The 18,158-nt window shown below is 38.2% G+C and overlaps 3 protein-coding genes across 6 annotated transcripts in view; 2 read left to right on the forward strand and 1 right to left on the reverse strand.

Moving 5' to 3' along the window:
- Nucleotides 1-18,158, forward strand: part of FPGT-TNNI3K (FPGT-TNNI3K readthrough) — a 346,187-nt gene that overhangs the window by 280,622 nt on the left and 47,407 nt on the right. The window contains exons 24-25 of the mRNA NM_001112808.3: nt 10,326-10,385; nt 13,234-13,403. Of these exons, the coding sequence (NP_001106279.3) occupies nt 10,326-10,385; nt 13,234-13,403 (230 nt within the window). The remainder of the gene's footprint in view (nt 1-10,325; nt 10,386-13,233; nt 13,404-18,158) is intronic.
- The window catches only part of TNNI3K (TNNI3 interacting kinase), a 309,042-nt gene that overhangs the window by 243,477 nt on the left and 47,407 nt on the right, over nt 1-18,158 (forward strand). The window contains exons 22-23 of the mRNA NM_015978.3: nt 10,326-10,385; nt 13,234-13,403. Of these exons, the coding sequence (NP_057062.1) occupies nt 10,326-10,385; nt 13,234-13,403 (230 nt within the window). The remainder of the gene's footprint in view (nt 1-10,325; nt 10,386-13,233; nt 13,404-18,158) is intronic.
- LRRC53 (leucine rich repeat containing 53) overlaps nt 1-18,158 on the reverse strand; it is a 67,704-nt gene that overhangs the window by 9,488 nt on the left and 40,058 nt on the right. For 2 of the 4 annotated variants that reach the window (XM_017003081.2, NM_001364666.2), the window contains exon 2: nt 1,290-2,105. The exons of 1 other annotated variant lie outside the window; for it this stretch is intronic. In XM_017003081.2, coding sequence (XP_016858570.1) covers nt 1,290-2,105 — 816 coding nt within the window. Of the gene's footprint in view, nt 1-1,289; nt 2,106-4,398; nt 4,513-18,158 lie in introns of all 4 variants that reach the window. One more of the 4 variants, NM_001382280.1, reaches the window with a different exon arrangement.

An 18,158-nucleotide genomic window follows, 5' to 3' on the forward strand; every position in this document is an offset into this window, starting at 1 on the left:
TAAATTATTTCTTAGCACATACAATTACTGACATAGTTACATGGTTTTTAAAAGAATTTATTTTCCTAACATTTGAATTTCCTTCCAAGTGAGTTGGATTACTGCTGATGGTAGTTCCATTGTCTATACCTGATGCTGGTCTCCATCTATTCTGATTAAAAGTGTAATTGTCAGGAAGTAAAAATACAATCAATTAATTCACTAGATAACTGTTACAGAATAATGATTTATAGCACATATTTAAAATACGTCAGTCTTGGATGCCATTTGTTGGTCTCTGGTCTCTCTCTCTTTCTCTCCCCACCCCCTCATCACCATGGTTACCCACAGGTGCAGAGGATTTCACCATGCACTGAGAGCATAGAGGAAAACACACACATCGAGCTAGATAACTTAAGAAATCTCATGCATCTTTGGTCTTCAACTAATGACACTAAGTGTCATTTTATATTATTCATCCAGTGAGATGTAATGATAGCTGATGCATAGTTTCATAAATTTTAAATTACAAAAAATATATAAAGAATTGCATATTATCCTCCCCTTAGTTGGTCTGGGGAAGTATGGGCCAAGTTTACATAGAGTTGGACAAACAGAAATCTTAGAAGAATTCAAAACCACCCAACAGGAGGAAAACCAAGGCACAGAGAAGTTAGATAATGCATCCAAAGTCACACAGCTAATAGCAGAGCCAGGATTCAAACCTAGGTAATCCAACTACAGAGCTCATTTATTTAACTACTATGCCATACAAACACTGCAGACTAAGATATATGAGATTGCCATAATAGCATCTCTTCGTCCATCTGTGAAAGCCCTCTGACTCTTACTATACACCATGGAGAAGCACACAAATGTAAGTGCCTTGAGGAAAGAGTCTATGTCCCATCAGTTTTTAAATATCTATCTCCTAGTGTCATAACAAATGCACTAGTACTCTTTGGTGAAAGGATGATTGATGAAATATAGATATTATTCCTGTATTATACACAAGGAAACTAAAGTCTAAATAGCAGGTTAACCTGTTCAAGGTCACCAATGCTATTTATACCAGGGCTGGAGCCCTTGAATTCTGGTCCAGGGCCCTTTCCTCTATGTTAGACAGCTTCCCTGAAACAGGAAATTCTTGCAACCTGTGCCAAATCAGCTAATATCCTCCCACATCTACTGGCAACCTCTCCTTTCCATAGCCCTGGCAACCAAGTGTCTGAGATAAGCATCACTTAGCATGCTGCAAAAATATGGACAAGAGAAGAGAAAAGAGGAGGGCACACTTCTCCCCGGCATACCTGCGAAGCCAAGGACAGTCAGCAGGGCCACATCTGGTCCTGGGAGGAGGGGACTTCTGTCCTTTAGAACCAGAGTGAAGTTGGGAGCTTTGGAATCACAGTTGGTCTCAGACAGCCTCAGCACACTCTGTGCAGCTGCCACAGCTGCGGTAGATGGCTGGCAATTTAGGTCCTTGGCATTCCTGAGCGTGTGAGCAGAAGACTTAATGTAGTTTCTTAAAAACCGAGCAAGGGGATGGAGATCACAAGTGCAGCTCCACTGGTTCTTATCTAAGCTCAGAAGGATTAACTGCTTCAGTGGAGTAAACACATCCGGCATGTGGGCTAACCTATTTCGGGAAAGGTCCACTTCCTGTAGTTGAGGCAGGGGCCGGAAGGCATCTTTCCCAATGTAGGAAATAAAATTGTTGGATAAATCCAGATACCTGAGACTGTGGAGATTCGTGCCTCCGAAAGAACTGTCTGTGAGATTAGTAATCTGATTCCCATCCAGCTGGAGCCGGGTCAGGCCGCTTGTGTTTCGGAACCAAGACCCTCGTAGGGTGCGGAGAGCATTATTGCTCAGCACCAGTACCTGCAGGCTGTGAAGCTTGCTGAAGGTGTGATCAGTGAGCGAAGAGCTGGATATTTGGTTGTGCTCCAGCAACAAGGTCCGCAACATCGTAAGCCCATGCAGGGCATCTTCCTGAACATCCTCGATACCATTTCTGCTTAGGGAGAGCAGGGCAAGATTAAACAAGAGAGACAGGTTTGTGCTCTCAATAGAGGAGAGATATCCATCGGTGATGATTAAAACCCTCGTGGTCATAGGGGCTGCTGTGGGGAAAAAAGCACAGACTAGATGCAGGGTACACATGAGTGGGAGGGAGGGGGTATGGTGGAGAGCAGAGAATCAATATCCTCTGAGCAATCTTATCACCTGGGTAAAAACAATAAACAATACAAAAAATGAAAATGATTTTCTGATTTCCAAATTTGAGGGGAAGCTGGCTATATATCAAAATGATGGATTTTTATATTCTTTGCTGCTGTGACATGTTTGTTTGAGAAACATAAACCCATCTGTTACTTTAGATGTCAAAGTTAATTCATTGTTTCGGATTATCTTCATCGATGTTATTTTGAAGGTGTCTTTTCAGGCCCTCCCTCCGAGGCTATGTACTGACCTGATCTAGCCCTGCAGATCCAGGACAGAATCAACTAAGAGCTGAGCCTGTGTCTGACCCCCATAGTCAGTGTTCCATAGCAATGTGTATTTATGCTGTGAAGTCAATCATCTTTTCTCCCAAAAGTAAAGGTGCGAGTTGGGATGGGGAGAGTGAGAAGGAGCATTGATTTCTGCTTTCTAGCCCCAGGCTAAAAGTTGGCAACTTGGTAAGGATATATATTCAATCCAGACAACCCAAGTACCTGTCAGTGGGGTTCTCATTATAGTCTGGGCCATCTTGGCCTCCTGTCTAATATCTGTTCCCTCCAATGAAGTCCATCATGTGATGACAGGTGGTACTCAGGGCTTCCAACTGTTAAATCCCTTCACCATAATCACCTCAGAGCTATCACTGCTCTGTCATTAGAAATCAAAGCATTTTAACTCAATAAAGAAGTATTATAATCAGGAGTCATTGTAACACATCTTTATCATGCTAACATTGTTTTGACTGCAAATGACAGTGTCATAAGGATAGAGGAGTCCATTGTCACTGGGAGGTCTATAGGTGATATTAGAATAGTCAACCCCAGGGAAGCAAATCACAAATCCCTTAGGAAATTCAGACTGCATCGCGGAAACAAAGAGATTAAAAAATACGTAAAAGACAAAAGATTCTCAGAGTGCCTTCTTTTGGAAGAACTGTTCTCATCCCTGCAGCACAAGCAAGCTTAAATCCTGGTGATTTTTTCAGCATTTATGATTGATTATTTGGATTCTATTAATTCTGGCCAGTTCGGCATTTTGTTTCTCTCATCATTGTTTTAGATATGGGATGAAGGAGGTTTGTTTTCATGGGTCCCCAGTCCTTTAGGGATTTACTGACTCTGAATGAGCAGGCTATTATTTCTGTCAATTACTTCTTGTCTAGGTCTAGACAGAAACCCCACTCACAATTCATCCATTTTATTCTCTGTATTTATGAAATCTAACTTCACAAATATGGTGTTCTGTAAATGAGAAGGGGGATATAGAGATGCAACAATGTAGATGAGAAATATTTGTTTCTTACAGACATCAACTGTCTCTGATCAGGAAAAATAAATGTAGTGAAGTCAAGAAATCCATTTTAGATGGTGAGAGTTTAGTGTTAAAGCATTTTCAATACTGATTAGAAACGATATACACATCAACTATCCATGAAAACCTCTCTGTCCTGTCAAGGATGGTGACAACATCTACCTCCTAATTATCAGAGTCGTGGGATATTAGAAATGGAAGAAATTATCCTCTTCCACTCTGTCGTAACTCAAGCTTGTTTATGGAAATTTTCCATTGGCAGAGCTTATAGCTTGTTTATCTCTTCTTGGATATCAGGATGTAAATCACATTCTCCTCAAATTTGTTAATAAGGTGTCTTATTAAATTGTTGACTTAAGCAAGCAATATGTAATGAATACAGGCAGTGTATCTTGTTAGCATTTCTACAGCTCATTTACCACCAATAAAAAAAGACCAGACTTTCAAAATGAGACGCACTTTGATAATAATCTGTTTCACTGGTACATCACTTAATCTTACTAATGCTGAACAATTGCAGTTCAGGTTTCTGATTCATTGATATTTCTTCCAGCTGGTGGTAGAGTTCAAATCTGCACAAAGTATGTACAAAGATATTAAAGTGATATATTTGTTAAGTGTGTAGCTGGATAAAATGGTGATATTCTTTTGCAATAGCAAAATAACTCAGTTACCTCTGAAGGTCTTTAAATAGTTTTGATTGAGACCATCAGGAACAGGAAAATAAAATATTGCCAGTCTCTTTAGTCATTGTATGAAGTGTACTCATTAAAGGGTTACCTCTTAAGCTGAGCCCAGAGAACAGTCAGTACAATGAAAGGTATGGCAACCAATTTTCCAGGTACACTGAGCACTGCTTTTTAGAGTTATTAGTTTTATTACCTACTATATAGGTTAGCTGGTGACAGAGGGTTACATCTTTGGTGCACACCACACATGACTCAGGGCAAGCTGCCACCAACCGCAACATGATGGCAAAGAGTACCAGCCATCCACCTGAAAGGAAAGTAGAGGGCAATGTATATCATAATGTTGGCATTCACTGTCCATTATTTCTGTACATACAGGTCATGAGGCATTTTGGTAATTTCTACTGTTCAATGAGCATCTTGGTGTTCTCTTAAGATGCCAGGTAAATAACTACATTCCTTAATTTGCATAGAATTTAAACTGAAATGTTAAAGCATTTGACTATAAATTCAGAGAGCTCACATCCAGGGCATATTTATTAGTATTTTGAAAAAATTAAGTTACTTTGCAAAACAATGTATAGTTTGTAGTGCTTTCACCAAACATTATCTTACTTAGTTCTTTTAATTCTGCAACCCAATTGGAGACTAAAGAAACAGCTCAGGATGGTTAGCAAACCATCCTAAATCACATAGCGGGTAGGTATTTAACCAAGTCTTTTAACTTTCAATCCAGTGTTTCTTCTAGTATGCAAAGCTAATCTCAGACACTGAGTCTTACATGATTACAACTAAATTCTTACTCCTTATAGATTTAAATGCCACACCTAGGGAGTGAGTATGATGTCAAGATTAAGCTCACAAGCTCTACTTAGCTTTGAATTCAGCTCTGTTTTTACTGACTATATTATCTTAGAAAAAAATATTTCTTTTTATTTTTTGCTTTTTCATGTGTAAAATAGAAATAATAAATGTCTACAGTACAGAGTATTATAAGAGTTAAATGGGTACTCTAAGTGTTTAGTAAATGTTAAACTTTACCTTTATTTTAAAGCTTTCTCAACCCCCCAGTGAAATATTTAACATCATTTGAATTTTATGTTCAAAAAAGACAATTCATTTATAATATCTTCCCTGGTTGATTAAAAAAAAAAAAACAAGGAGCAAATTATAATAAAACCCTCTACCTATATAATAAGATAGTTTGAGAACAAAATAAAATGTAGAAAAAACATAAAATGATTAATTCTATCATTTGTTCAACAAGCATTTGTAGATCACCTTCTGCATGCTAGGCACTGCTCACAGTACTGGGCATAGAGCAGGGGCTGACAAGCACCTGCCCTTGTGAAGTGTACTTTCTATAAAAGGATATAAACAATAAACAAATAATATAAAATATGTATTAAGTCATATGGTGATAAATGCTCTAGAATAAATAAAACAAGAAAAGGAGAAGATCGCATTGACTCGAGGGCTCTAAATATGGCAAACAAGGAAAATCTCTCTGATAAAACAACATTTGAACAATAAGCTGGAGAAGGTGAAGGCATTAGTGTGTCATGGTGGAGAGGATCCAATGCAAAGTTCTCAAGGGCATGAGGAGGTTGGTGTGATGACCAGAGTGGAGTGTGTAAGAGGAAGAGTAGGGCACAGAATCATAGGAGCAGGTTGTTGTATACCTTAGAGATGAATGCAAAGACATAGCGTTTTAACCCAAATAACATGGGAAGTAATTGGAGGCTATAGTGAGTGGCATTACTTGGTCTGATGTCTATTTTTAAAGATCATTTTAACTACTGAGTTGGGAACTACTTTTAGATAAGCAAAGAACATAAGTAGCAAAAATAGGAGGCAATTGTAGTAATACAAGGAAGGGATGATGTGGTGTAGAGAAGGATGAGAGGTAAGCATATTCCAGATGATTTTTTATCATAATGATGCAATTTAATTTAACAAATTTGAGCTCATTTAACCTGTCTGATGGAATGTGCTAGGTGTCTAAGAGTAAATAAACCATTGTATCAAAGAACTTTCTAGCTAGTGATAGACATGTAAATACCTATCTATAACACAAGGAGAAACGAAGTAAATCTAAATGCAAGTGAATAATTACTTTGTGGAATAACTTGGATGCTTTAAGAAGGATGTAGCTCTTGAGTTGGGCCTTGCAGAGTACAGTGAATTTCCATGGGCAGAGAATAAGCATTAGGTAATTCCAGTCTGAGAAAACAGTAAGAACAATGCCCTGCATGGGGCAGCAGATCTAATCTCAGTTCATTTATTTTAGTCCTACCTGGCCGGTTAGTCGGCCTCATGGATGTGTGGTTCAGGGGCAAACCAGAGATTGAGGTAGAATTTACACACAGACTCCAGGGCTTTTTCCAGGATCTCCTCTCATTCTCTACTGCGTATTTGTGATAAGCAGGATTCTAACATGACCTGCAAGATTCCTGTCCCCTGGTGTACATGCCATGTAGAATACCCTGTCCTTCAGTGTGGGCAGAACCTGTGAATATGATGAGATATTACTCCCATGATTATGTTTCATCATATGACTAAAGGAAGATTATCCCAAGTGGGTCTGACCTAACTGGGTGAGCCCTTCAAAAGCAGAATAAGTTTTACAGCTGGTCACAGAGTGGAAGTCAGGCATGTGCCCTTGCCGGTTAGGAAAAAAGCAAATAGCCATGTTGTGAACTGCCTATTTGGCAAGCAGCTGTAGGCATCCTCTAGAATTTGAGAGTCATTTCTGGGCAACAGATGGCAAGAAAACAGACATGTGTCATACAACCACAAAGAAATCAGTACTGCCAACAACCAATGCGCTTAAAAGAGGCCTTGAGCCTCAGATGAGAATCACAGTGCCTGCTGACTCCTTGATTTCAGCCTAGTGAAACTCTGAGCAAAGGACCCGGCTAATCTATACTGGACTCCTGACCAGTGGAAACTGAGATAAAAAATGAACATTGTTTTAAATCACTAGGTTTATGGTAATTTGTTATAAAACAATAACTAATACACTCCAGTTGCCCTGAATTCTGTCCTCTGTTCCTTCAAACAAGCAAACCATCAGAATTTTAATTGTTTCCTAAAATGCAGAAGTGGTCTACCCTCAGGCTAAATGCTATAAAGAGAGAGAGAGAGAGAGAGAGAGAGAGAGAGGTGGGAAATATACTAGTTCCTTTCTTCTAAGTGACTCACTCCCCTCCAGGATCTACTTGCTTTTATTAACTTTCCAGTGCCTTCAGGTAGCTGTCATTTACATTTTGTCCAGAGTTTCTCGTTGTTTTCTGTAGGAGGGTTGATCTAATATAAGCTACTTGATCATTCAGATACTGAATGGTAGTATCAATATAATTTGCTGGTATATAAGAGTAAAGTATGATAGAGTAGTCAAACATCATCACTTTTTTTGTGTGTGTTTTTTGTTTTTTGCTTTTTTTTTTTTTGCCTCTGCAAGCAGAAGGATGGAGTTTCCATTTACTGAAATGGGAAAGGCTATAAATATAATTAATTGCATGTATGAGTTTAGAGTTCAGGAGAAAGTACTGGGCTAGAGATAATAATCTGGAAGTTGTTTTTTAAAGACATAAGACTGAATTAACTCCTCAACAAATTAATTTTAAAGGGTAAAGAGACTCAAAGACTGAGTCTTGGGGCAATAAAAAGCTTAAAGATAAGGAGGAGAGATGAAACCAAAAGAGGAGACTAAGAAGAAGCCAATGAGCGCAGAAAAAAATAAAATAAGAAAATGGTGTCCTCAAAGCCAATTGAAAAACATGTTTCAGGGACAAAGGAATTGTTGCTTATATTTAATGCTATGCCAAGTGAAATGACCACTGAGATGTAACCATTGAATTTAGCAATGAGATCTTTGTAACCTTGACAAGGGCAGTTTCAGCAGTGTTGTAGGAGAAAGCTTGATTAGGATGGATTGCAAATGGGAGAAGGGGAATTAGAGACCGCAAATTTGGATAACTCTAGAACAATTTTGCTGTAAAGTAAACAGCAATGGAACAGTAGCTTGAAGGAGGACGTTAAGGGTTTTATTTTGCTGTTTGTTTTTAAGATAGGAGAATGTATAGTATGTCTGTATGCTGGTGGAGATTAAACAATACAGAAGGAACATGAACGATGCAAAAAAAAATGGATGAGAGAATTATTGCTGGAGCACACAAGTGAAGGAGTTGGCCTGAGAATCAGGCAAATTTCATCCACAGAAACAAAAGTGAGGGCAAATTATGTAGGTCATAGGTGAGTAGGTCAATGTAGTAGTGGGAGCTAGAGGTTTAGGAGAGAGGAAAAGGTACAAAATAGCCATCCGAAGTGTGAGAGAGTGAATGGACTAGAAATATGTAATAGGCTCTCTGAATAGTACTGACGGTCCATGGGAGATTAGAGGGTCAAGATTTTGAAGTGAGACCAGGCAGAATGGATTCAATAAAGTTTAGGATTCTTTCAGTACTGTACCAAATGCAAGATGAAGCAAGGGAGTTGAGGATGTGTGGAAGGGAGTGATAGTTGGAAGTGAATCTAATGATAAATGTAAATGAAATATAAGGTAAAGGGAAAGTGAGTGACAGCGAAAAGATGATGAAGTGAGCAAAAAAACAAGTAGGGAAAAAGATAGGCAGATGGGTAGGTAGGTAGAAAGAAGAGCATCTACTTTAGGACATATTTGGAACTGCTCGTAATAAAAAGCTCTTGTTTTATTTTGTTTTGTTTTAAGTGGTAAAATGGCTTCCAAGTACCAGTGTGATCAAAGCTTGTTGGAGTCAGGTTTCTAGAGGAAGTGAGGTAGAGAGAAAGGGACAGCTCAGAGAGTTGTCTGATAAAGATTGAGAGGTTAAAGAGCATGGAGGGGTGGAGGCATTGGTCATGACAGGGTCTAGGGTATAACTAAGGGGCTGAGTGACTAAAGGAGTTTGGAGGACAAGCTCATTGGAGAAGAGTAGGCAAAGGAACCCAGAGGTCAGGCTATTTTAATGATCATTTGCATGGATAATAAAAGTACAAAGAGTAGTGTTAGAGAGTATGAAGTAAGCCAGTTTTTAAAATCCCCAAAGAATGAGGGGGTGTGGCTAGACTCTGGTGGTATAGCCTGACAAGCTGGTGGTGTTTAGAGGAGAAACCATTTGGAAGTAGCAGTGACAGCAAGGAAGACACAGGGTTTTGCTCACTCCACTGCTCCCACTGCTCCCACTGCCCCCACCAACCTAGAGATACAAGGAGTATGTGAGAGGAAACAGCTTATAAGGGAAGCAGTGTTCTCAGGGGTGGGCTAGATAGTAAGGGAGAAATTGTTCTACTAAGAATCTAAATTATTTGGTTACTGAACCTGAATGTTAAATTGGGCTCTCCACCTCCTGGCAGTGAAAGTTTCAAAAAAGGAGAAATGATAGGGTGTATAGTTTTAGGATCTGACAAAAGAAGACAATTTTCTCAGAAGAGGCCAACATTTTCTAAAATTCCAAGAATTTTTCCAATAATCATTTTTATATCCCTTGCAACTGGAACAAAGCTTGAAATATATTTGGAATAAACTTTTTTTTAACCAAACTCGTCTGACACAGAGGTTCATAATGGGCAATATTTTTAATGGCACTGTCTGAAGGTAAAAAGCTTACCTTAAACCCTAAAGTAAGGCATAGTCCTGAGGTTTCTATCATCATCTTAGTTTTGAATCTGAGATGATCTTTTCAAAAGTGAAGTTCATTATAAATCTAGCCTTAGCAGTTCTTTTTATACACAGTGTGCAGTGTATTACAAGGCACTGAGATAGTTAATAGTTTTTAGTATTCACTATTATTCTTTCATTTTGAAGAGGAAACCTGCCATTTAAAAACATGCAAAGCTAATTAAAGCTTTTCCACTATTTCATTATCTGAATGTAGTTGCAAATTCTGACTTAAAACTCTTATCAGAGGGAGACTCAACATCTCTCCATGAACAGCAAATGAACATTCAATTAACACTTCAATAAAAGTGTATTTTAAATAAAAATATACTTTATTGTTAATCTCATTCTTTACAAATGCTAATACCCAATTTTAACATCCAAAGAGAGTCTCCTTCCTTTTATTCTTAAGGGAAAAAAGTTCTTTTTTCTATTTACAGGGAAGACCCGAATTTTCTGAAGTTGTCATGAAGTTAGAAGAGTGTCTCTGCAACATTGAGGTAAAAGCTTTAGCTTCTGAAATATGTCCATAAAAAAGCCCTGCATATCCAAGGCTGTCAGGGAATGTAGATGAGCTGGTGCTTATGAAAAGTTACTGTGAGGACCCATAACTCCATCCATATTTGCCCTATTCATTAAATTCCTATGGTGGAGCAGAATTAGCTGTATCTACAGGGACAAAGGCAAAGTCAGAGTGAATTCGAGACCTTCCAACAAATAATAGGGCAGGCAAATGGACACAGTCATGCTCAGCTTAAAAATTGATAAGTAAAAATTGGAAAGTATAACAAATACATTAGAAGGTAATTATTTAATCAATTTTTATGCAAAAATTCTTCATACAGAGATTTGTAAGCCATTGTTCATTTACATTCAATGCGAAAAGAAAAATTATCAATAAAATATGTTCATAAATTAGTTGGAATGCATTGCTTTCACACCACATATATGTTGCTTAATGTGATATATGTTGGTAATCAGGCTAATGGAATTTTCTTGCCTTATTAAAGCTGTTTGCTTTAAGTTTCTCTACAATTGCCTTAATTTTCTACACACCTGGTCAAGAGATAGCATTTCAAAATAATCGAGGGAGCTAAAACATGCACACTACTTGAAAAATAATATATTCTCAAATGGAAATAAGTGTTACTGGTGGAGGAAGACATACATCACACATAGAGGATCATATATGCATTTGCATATGCAGGGAAGGGGCAACAATAGAGAGAAATAGCATCAACCTGAGATTGCACCACTAAGTCTCAAAGTGGAACCATCAAGAAAAGCAGGATTTTTTTTTCTAAAAAAAAAAAAAAAAAAAAAAAAAACTCAACTAAGAGTCATTGGACCTAGTCTATTGGAAAAGGATTTGCAGTTACAGCCTGCAGTGAGTGGCTCTGTCTCATGACTCTTTGCTGGAATTTCTAAAGAAAACTTTTGTGTAAAAAGAAGCTTCAGTGTTTAGACCTAAGATCCTCTTTCCCTTCTCTTATTCAGTACTGGGACTTACAGAAAGTGGGGAGAAGTAGTCATATATTTGGTGGGGCTTCAGCAGCCCCTGTGGACAAAAGCATCTGCCAGAAGCCTTGGGTATTAAGAGACACCTTCAAGACTTGAATTTAAAATATCCTCTCATTTTGAAACTTAGGGTTTGAGTGAGTTTGCTTCGAGCCTAATGGGATAGATATATCTGGAGGTGGATTCCAGAAAAAAGGAATCCACCATGATAGGATCTACAAACATGATAGGATCTACTAAACTAGCTTGTCTTATTGTAATATATTGATCAAGCCTCTTATTTATACTCTCTCCCCAAGGGAGAAGATGAATGGGCTATATGCTGACAGAGTTTGCTGGACTGAGTTGCACTAATTAACAGATGAGAGTCAGCCTAAAGAGGCTTGACTTGCGCAGTTTCATAAGACCTTATCCTCTCTATTCTTCAACTTTTCAGTCAACGGTTTAGATCAAGGCCAAGAGGGAGCTACTCATCCCATGTGCAGATATAATCAAGTTAAGAGGGACAGAAAGTATTTGAAAGCAGGACCCTAGATCTTGGAGGATGAAGTAACAGGACATGTCTAACAAGAATAATTTTAACAGGAATACATATAAATATAATGTCCTGCAGCAGAGCCAAAGAAAAAATAATAAAAGTATCAAATGGTGGAGACCTGGCTTAGGAGCATCATGAATGCTAGTGGATAATAAGCTCATTGGGAGTTAAAATATAAAGTGACTGTCTTGCTGCAAAATAAAAGATATGATTAGTCTTGTTCTGAAATGGCAAAGTGGTATCCAGTTGTGTCTGTGAGCCTTTTAAAGGAATAATTAAAACTGGGATACACATTTTAGAAGAGAGAGATTTGAGTGGTGAATAAGCTGAAAATCACGTAACATGAAAACCGGTTGAAGGAGCTAATGATGCTTATCACAGAAAAGAGATAATTAGGGTGAGTCCAACAGGTTTTTGTTTGTTTGTTTGTTTTTGAGAGAGAGTCTCGCTCTGTCTCCAGGCTGGAGTGCAGTGGCGCAATCTCAGCTCACTGCAACCTCTGCCTCCCAGGTTCAAGCGATTCTCCTGCCTCAGCCTCCCCAGTAGCTGGGACTACAGGTGCGTGCCACCACTCCCAGCTAATTTTTGTATTTTTATTAGAGACGGGGTTTCACCATGTTGACCAGATGGTGTCGATCTGTTGACCAGGATGGTGTCGATCTCTTGACCTCATGATCCGCTCACCTCAGGCTCCCAAAGTGCTGGGATTACAGGTGTGAGCCACCACACCCAGCCAAGTCCAACAGGTGTTTTAAACATCTGAAAAACTATCACATGGTAAAGGGAGTGGCCTGTTCAATATGGGAAAAGACTTGCCACACATTAAAGCATTTTTCGTCTTATAAAATTGATGTATTCTTGGAAAAGTGTGTAAATTCATTTTACATGAAGGGAATAATTTCATGTAAAGGGAATAATTTTAGCTATGATTTAAAGGAACTCTGCCATAAATCTTATTGCCATAGTGAAGAATGTGAAGAATCTTTTGATCATTGAATAATAACCTTCTAAATATATTTTATGAATCTGAGTTGGGCCTACTGTGTTTTTAGAAAGATGAGCATAAATTTAACAGGCCAGCTCTCAGCACAGAACTGGGTCAAAAAAGTAAATTAAGCTAGGCAGATGTTGCCACTAGACTTTTTCCTGAAAGGAAAAGCCAGGAGCAAGCTGAGTGAATAGAAATTAAAATATGGGAAACCTTGGAATAGAAAGTTAAATCCATATTTTATGTTATGTCTTCACACCTGTTGGAAGTATTAAACAATTGAAATTGCCCCTCCTCCACTCAGCTGATGTCTCCTGCATCAAGTAACAGCAGTGGGTCTCTCTCACCTTCTTCTTCTTCTGATTGCCTGGTGAACCGGGGAGGACCTGGCCGGAGTCATGTGGCAGCATTAAGAAGTCGTTTCGAATTGGAATATGCTCTAAATGCAAGGTCCTATGCTGCTTTGTCCCAAAGGTGAGTGGTAATATAAGCAAATCTCACAGTAAAGTCTTATTTCAGAATCTTATCAAGACAGTCAACTGATTTGATTACTATTAACAGGGTTTGATTACCCCCTGAAAAACTTTGAAAGAGGAGTTTTCAGCCCATTTTTCTTACGTTATGACTAAAAATTAGAAATTTTATTATCTGTTAGCCTAGGTCCTCTAGTTGCAAGTAACAGGCATTAACCTAGCTTAAGTAAGACACGTCTATTTCAGAGCAACAAAAGGGATTTATTAAAAGTATTCTGAAGCTATTTTATGGCATCCAAGCAAGAATTCCTGTGTGGAAACCAGGAAACAGCTTTGAGGATCTGAGCAACAGAAGTTCAGCGTTCTAAGAATTACCATATGACCCAGAAATTCCATTCCTAGGAATATACCCTAAAATTGGAAATAGGTACTTAAACAAATACTTGTATTCAAATGTTTATAGAGCAATATTTATAATAACCAAAAGGTGGAAACAACCCAAAAGTCCATCAACCAATGAACAGATTGATAAAACAGGTTGTCACAACAAAATACCATATACTGGGTACATAAAACAGCAGAAATGTATTTCCGCAGTCTGAAAGCTGGAAGTCCAAGATCAGGTTCAGCATGGTTGAGGTTCTGGTGCGGGTTCTCTTCCTGTTTTCTAGAAATCCACCTTTTTTTCTCTGTCCTTATAAGGCAGGGAGAGCTCTAGTGTCCCTTTATCTTCTTATAAGGGCACCAACTCTACTGGATCAGGGCTTTACATTTATGACTTCATTTAACCTTAATTATCTCCTTAAAGGCCTTCTCTCCAATTTAGTCACATGGGAGGCTAGGGTTTCAACATATGAATTTGAGGAGGGTCACACTCCAGTCCATAGCAATAGGTAAATCTATAAAAACAAAAAGCAAATGGGTGCTTCTAGGGGATAGGGAGGAGGGAGAAATTGGGAGTAAATGCTTAATTGTCTCCCAGTTTTATTTGGGGCTGATGAAAAGATTTTGGAATTAAAATGGTGGTTGTAAAACTGTGAATGTACTAAATACCACTGAGTTGCTAGTTTTAAAATGGTTATTTCTATGCTATGTGAACTTTACCTCGATGAAAACAGAAGCAAAAACAAAAAGATTAAGCAAAAAGGTAAGTCAGAAAAAAGAGAAAAAGAAATCAACATTCTTTCATAGCTAGCTCTGCCATTCACATGCCCCAGTTCCCAATAGATAGTCTCTTTGTCTCTCAGCTTAAATGTTAAGTTTCAAAGAGAAATATATCTGTCATATAATGCTATAATAATTCCGTATAATAACCCATCCCAGAATTCAGGGATATACAATCATAATCATTTATTTCTTGCTCACTTGTTTGTGGGCTCATTTTGGATGAGCTTGACTCTGAACTACAGATTGCGTTCAGGTCTATTCCTTGGGTCTATCAACCTCCTTGGACACCCACATAGAAAAATGTACTACCTGGGGTATATTCTTCTCACAGACAAAGGCTAGTAACTCAAGAGGACAAGCCCAAATTTACATGCACATTTAAAGCCTTTGCTCAAGTTGTATCCTCTGACAACATTCCATTGGCAAGTTTCACAGCTGACTTCAACATCAATAGGAAGAAAAAATATACTTGATTTTTAGTGGGAAGAATTGCAAAGCCATATGGCAAAAGGCATGGGTAACTGGAGTGGGAATGGGGTCATAGTTCATTAATATAAATACGGTTGTCAGGGGCCCCTGTTCTAGATGGGGAGCAAAGAAGGCAGTCACTGTGAGCTTCATAGATACCCTGAAGAGTGCATACTTTCCAACCCATGGAAGACCAGAAAAGACTAGTTTAAAATCTTTCTCCGTCCACGTGAGCACCAAAGCATTTGCACACGGCCCAGTTACACATGCACACTCACACCCACACCTGCATATACATACACACTCATACACTCCATTATCAGAGTAAAGGTTCTTAAGTGGGAAAAGATTATCTGGAGTTAGCAAGGGTTTCTATACAATCTACAAATTGCAATTGTTGCTTTTTTAGCTGTAGTTATTATATTCCTGATCTGATAAAGGAGTTGCAGCTGCAGCTATGAAGAGATGGGACTCTGATTCGTGAAGTCTTTAATCTATAAAATGTCATGAAATTAAGTATTAGTAGGTTTGATTGATAACCACACAAACTGGACACCATTTTTTATTGGATTTTAGTCTCTTGTATAATTTCAAAAGGACCCATAGGCCAAGACTACATTAGATTTGGTCACATCATCATCTTCCAGTTCTATCTTCTGTTCTTATTCTCTACTTGTGTCTTTTAAAGCTATTTCTCTGAACAGCCAGATTTTGATATTTCTAAAGCACAGTCACCTGAGGTTTGTCCACTTGAGACAGAGGTTAAGAGGATGAGCTGTGGAATCAGACAGATGTGAAGTTAAATCTTGGCTTTGCCATGTACTAGCTCAATGACCTTGTCAAGTTATTTAAATCTCACATGTAAAATACTGATAATAATACCAGATCTTAGAGTTGTTTTAAGGAGAGGTACTATTGTCATAGCAGTGACAGTACTTGATTGAAAGATGCCAGCAGAACCAAGCAAAGAATATAGGTCCAAAAATGTAGGCAAGTCACAGAATTTACAATACACGGAGAGCTACACAGAATAGGAGGCACAGCAGCAGTCCCAGTTAGGCAAATGAAGGGTGGAGGGGACAGAGCTTCTCTAGCCTTCAAGAATCTAGAGATGTATACCACTACTAATTTTTCAAAAAACCTACATGCTGGGTGAAAAAACCCATCAGCTTTTTTGAGATGCTCCTTTTGATATTCTCATAAAGTGTTTTATAGCCTTCTGGCCCTTCCTGACTGTTATGGAACTCTGATAAGGGTGTATCTGTCTGCTAGGTGCAAGTTTCTCTTAACAGCATGGCATTTCCCTGAGGATTTGCTGTGAGCGTGCATTCAAGGTCAGTTTGTTAGTACCATTCCTCCGAGTAAGCTCAATCCTTGCACTACTTAAAATCAACTCTAGGAATCGGTAAAGCGTTTAGCTAAGTTTTAAAATGTGTCAAAATAGAAATTATGTATGTTCTATTCATTACTGTATCCTTAGTATCTATCTAGCAGTATGATTGGCATAAAGTCAGTAAGAAATATTTGTTGGGCAGATAAAGAATAAAAAATTGGATAAATTGGCTCAATAAACAGGAATTATTTTTCACTTGGTGTGTAATCAGTGAATGAGCCTTAACTATTTTCTCTTTTCTTTCCATTTAAATACCTGTCACTATTGAACATCCTGGGCACTATTTTAAACACTTTAAATAGTCATCTAATTCAGCCTTAGGAAGTAGGTATTCCAATTTTTATAGATGAGGAAACTGAGGCTCATAGAAAAGGTAAGCAACTTTCCCAAGTTAATGGAGAGTAAGTAAGCAAAGCTGGAATTCTCACTCAGGACTCTCCTGTGCTTTCTGAGTTTCTCTGGCATAGGAGATGCATGTTCCAGAAGCTTGAAATATTTTGCCAATACTTGTATTTGCTGGACTTCCAGTTTCTCCTGGAAGTCAATCTGTGAATAACTTCGACTATTTCTCCCAAGCCTGCCTTTTCAGCTTGTGTATATGAAGGCAGAGGAAGTGAGAACAGCGATCAATAGGTGTTTAAAGTCAGAGAGCCCAAGGATATAAAAATTGATGGACTAAGTACAGGAGGGCCATGAGTTTAACAGCTTGTGAGACAGTGGTTCTCAACTTTGGCTGCACATTAGAATCATCTGGGAAGCTTTTACAAGTACCAGTGCCCAGGACCAATTAAACCAAAACCCATGGGGTTGGCACCCAGGCATCAGAATGCTTTAAAGTTCCCCAGGTGATTCCAATATACATCCAAGTATAAGAAACATGCTGAAAGAGAATGATACGATGCTAACCTGCCAGTCATTCTGTAAGAAGGGGATGCAGCTAATGAGAGAGGAAAGAGAAAGCCAAGGTGAAATACCATCTGTGACCAAAGGGGACCATTTTGATGACTTATTACGTGCATCATCCCTGCCAAAATTCCTTACAATGTACCACTAACTTCTGATCTTTGGATTTCCTAATTAATTCAAGTTACAGAGTTAAAATGTAATTTTTTAGTATAGCATTATGATTTTGAAAAATCAGTACAAGGTTTTTCCTATAGTCCCTACTAATGTATGGATGTGGGGACACCTCAACACTGTCTTGAGAAATGATGCATTTACTTTTCAATTTTTGGTCATGAAGTTCACAGATGATAGGTTTGAGTTTTGTAATGCTTGATTTTATGGGGTTTTTGGTTGTTTGTATATTTGTTTCTAATTATTATTATTCTTTATAAATAAATTTAGAGGTGCAAAATTGTGTCAGAGATTTTCTCCACAGATAATAGGAATTCCCTAATTCCTATCAAAACCATAACTTGATAAAATCTGAGATTGAGAAAGGCACTCTTGAAGTTCTGCCTCTTTTAAAATATTTTGTGCCTCTAGATATATTTGGAAAACTAAGCATGTGGCAGTTGCTCCTCCCACAGGGTATGAAATCCCATCTTGTACATGGATTACATCATGTAAATTTAGAAATGACAAACTGATACACAACCTTTCAGATGTGAAAACCAATTAGTGTTTATGTGGGGCTGGGCTCTAAGAATAGAATGATTTGACCTAGTTAGCTGTCCAGAAGAAGAAAACCAGGGATCCAGAGTTTGGAACTGTAAAACAGATACA

Source organism: Homo sapiens, chromosome 1, assembly GCF_000001405.40.
Source record: "Homo sapiens chromosome 1, GRCh38.p14 Primary Assembly".
Classification (NCBI taxonomy): Eukaryota; Metazoa; Chordata; class Mammalia; order Primates; family Hominidae; genus Homo; species Homo sapiens.